A 2,942-nucleotide genomic window follows, 5' to 3' on the forward strand; every position below is an offset into this window, starting at 1 on the left:
TTAGGAATTAAAAAGAAATTTTAAACAAAACTGCCAAAACAAAAACCATAAAGGCAAAAACATGAATTTGATGTTTGATTTGATTCTATCAAAAATAAAGATTTCTGTAAGACAAAAGACATGAAGAAAATCATTAATTACTAGATGATGAAAAGGGAGAAACTATTTTTAAATCCTAAATTTATAAGGGATTCATATCAAAATTATACTACAAACTTCTCTATTTCAACAACAACAAAAAAAAAAATCACAGAACCCCTCCAAAAAAAACGAGCAAAGGTTATGAAGATATAACTCAAAAGGAAGAAACGCAGAGGCTGACAATGTAGAAAAAGATGTTCAAATTCATTATTAATTCATGGAATACAAAATAAAAGCAAAATGAAATAACATTTTAAGTCTCTTAGACTAGTAAAAATTTAAAACAAACAAACAAACAAAAAAAAACCCTGCGCCTGTAATCCCAGCACTTTGGGAGGCCGAGGCGGGCGGATCACGAGGTCAGGAGATCGAGACCATCCTGGCTAACATGGTGAAACCCCGTCTCTACTAAAAATACAAAAAATTAGCCAGGCGTGGTGGCAGGCGCCTGTAGTCCCAGCTACTCGGGAGGCTGAGGCAAGAGAATACCGTGAACCCGGGAGGCGGAGCTTGCAGTGAGCCAAGATCACGCCACTGCACTCCAGCCTGGGCGACAGAGTGAGAATCCGTCTCAAAAAAAAAAAAAGAATAATACAAAAAAGTGGAAAGGAAGTATGAGTTATAGGAACCTTCTTATAGTAGAGCTAGCGATAGGGCAATCTGGCACTATTTAGCCATATTTGGTATATTTACACCATATTATTCAGCCGTTCAATTTCAGGTTCTTTGATCCCAAAGAAAGTCTCACAAAATTCCTTAAGGGGCATTTATAAAAGGACATTTATTGCAGAATTATGTGACTTGGCAAGTAATTGGAGGGAATCTAGGCACTCCTTACTGGTAGAGAAAACAGGCATAGTATGAAATATAGAATCTACTGAGCATTATGCAAGGATAAGATAAAAGAGAGTAGATATTCTACATAGCCACACTGAGGAACCTTAAGAATGTAGTACTAACTGGAAAAAAGAATAGAATGAAATATCTAACATAATACTTTTTAATGTATTAAAAACTGATATACATCAGAAAGTATATTTTTTACAAGAACACTTACAAACACAAATTAAACAAATTAGAATTATTGCCTAAGGGAGGGAAGTCAAAAGAAAATGTAAAATGATATATGGTAATGACCCTGCAAGCACTAATTGTACATCCATCCTTAAGATAGTAAGTATTGGAGAAAATGGATAGCCTATATGAGGCTGGTGGTGGTTGCCTCAAAAAAAGAAAATAAAAATTTCATGTGAAAAGTGTCTATGGATATAGGTGAACTTATTTATAACATGATGATAAATTAATAGGGCACTGTGAGGAGGTTTGGGAGGATGGAGAGAGGCAGGAAGTTGAGATAGGAGAAAGCCATCACTGAGCATTTGAAAAATACAGTACATGTGGGAATCAATTTGATGCCTGCAAGAAATCATATTTTTGGTGATAATCAAGGAAAAAAAGAAGTTAGCCATGACGAATTGGATCTTAACAGTTTCCTGAAGATAGGAAACAACCCAAATTCATCGAATTCAGCCCTAGGCTAGAATAAAAGATGACTAATGTGATGTCAGACATTTCTCTTAGCCTTTAGTGAGAGGTTCGGTAAAATCAGAGAAGCTGGAGAGCCTAAGCTTTGTGGTCCACAGGTAGAGGTGGGAGATGGTGGCAGCATTCCCTCCGGAAGGTGGCATACTGCTGCAAAATGGGATGTGGTTTTCGCGTGGGCATGCCTCATCAAGTTGTAGCCAAAGAGCGCAGGTGAACAACAAAACAATCTAAAATATAAAGCTTACGGGTAAAGGCACAACATCTGCTGTGTTCATTACTCTGTTCACAAAACCTAGGGGAATTAATAGAATAAGTATTTACTAGATGAATGAATTAGATAAAAAAGAAAAAACCGGAAACATCTTAACCAACAAAAGGGGATTAGTCAAATACATTATGGTATATATTTACTATGGAATTTGATTAAAGGAAAATTATAATTTGTAAGTATAAGAGTAATATGAATAATACTTATATAATAAAATGTTAAGACAGATTACAAACATAATTTTATGATCCCATTTTGGTAAGTAAATAAGTATGCATTAAAAAGTTGGAAAGACTGTACATTAAAATATTAACTATAGTTATTACTGGATGTTATTAGCAATGTTTTCTTTTTGCTAATATACATTTCGAATTTTTCAACAGCCAGTGTGGATCATGGTGAAATTTTAAAACTACAAAAATTTAAATAGATTTTGAGAATTGATACCTGAAATGTGAATAAATCAGTTAAAAAAAAAGTCTCATCTATACTAAGGATTTATATTTAATTTTTATTAATTCCAGTTAAATAGGTACAAAATATTTTAATAGTCTTCTCCTAATTTGCATGTCTTGACTATGTTTACTTGGTTAACAGCTCCAAAGCACTTTGAGGGCAGTGATAATATTTTTCTAGTATCCTGAGAGGTTAGTTGTTCAATAAATGTCTGTCGAGCTAAGTAACTCTTTTATAACATCCTCTAATTAATTGCTATGTTGTCCAGATTTTTCTCAAAATGCTAAGCAAACACTTTATATAATACCGATTTAAAGTTTTTTCACTTTTTCTGAAAGTTTTTAATTTAGTTGCAACGTATCTGCAGTTTTTAATTTAGCTTGCAATTTTTTTTTTTGAGATGGAGTCTCACTCTATCGCCCAGGCCAGAGTGCAATGTTGTGATCACGGCTCACTGCAACCTCTCCCGCCTGGGTTCAAGCGATTCTCCTGCCTCAGCCCCCCGAGTAGCTGGGAATACAGGCACCTGCCA

This window comes from Homo sapiens, chromosome 3 (genome assembly GCF_000001405.40).
Source record: "Homo sapiens chromosome 3, GRCh38.p14 Primary Assembly".
Taxonomy (NCBI): domain Eukaryota; kingdom Metazoa; phylum Chordata; class Mammalia; order Primates; family Hominidae; genus Homo; species Homo sapiens.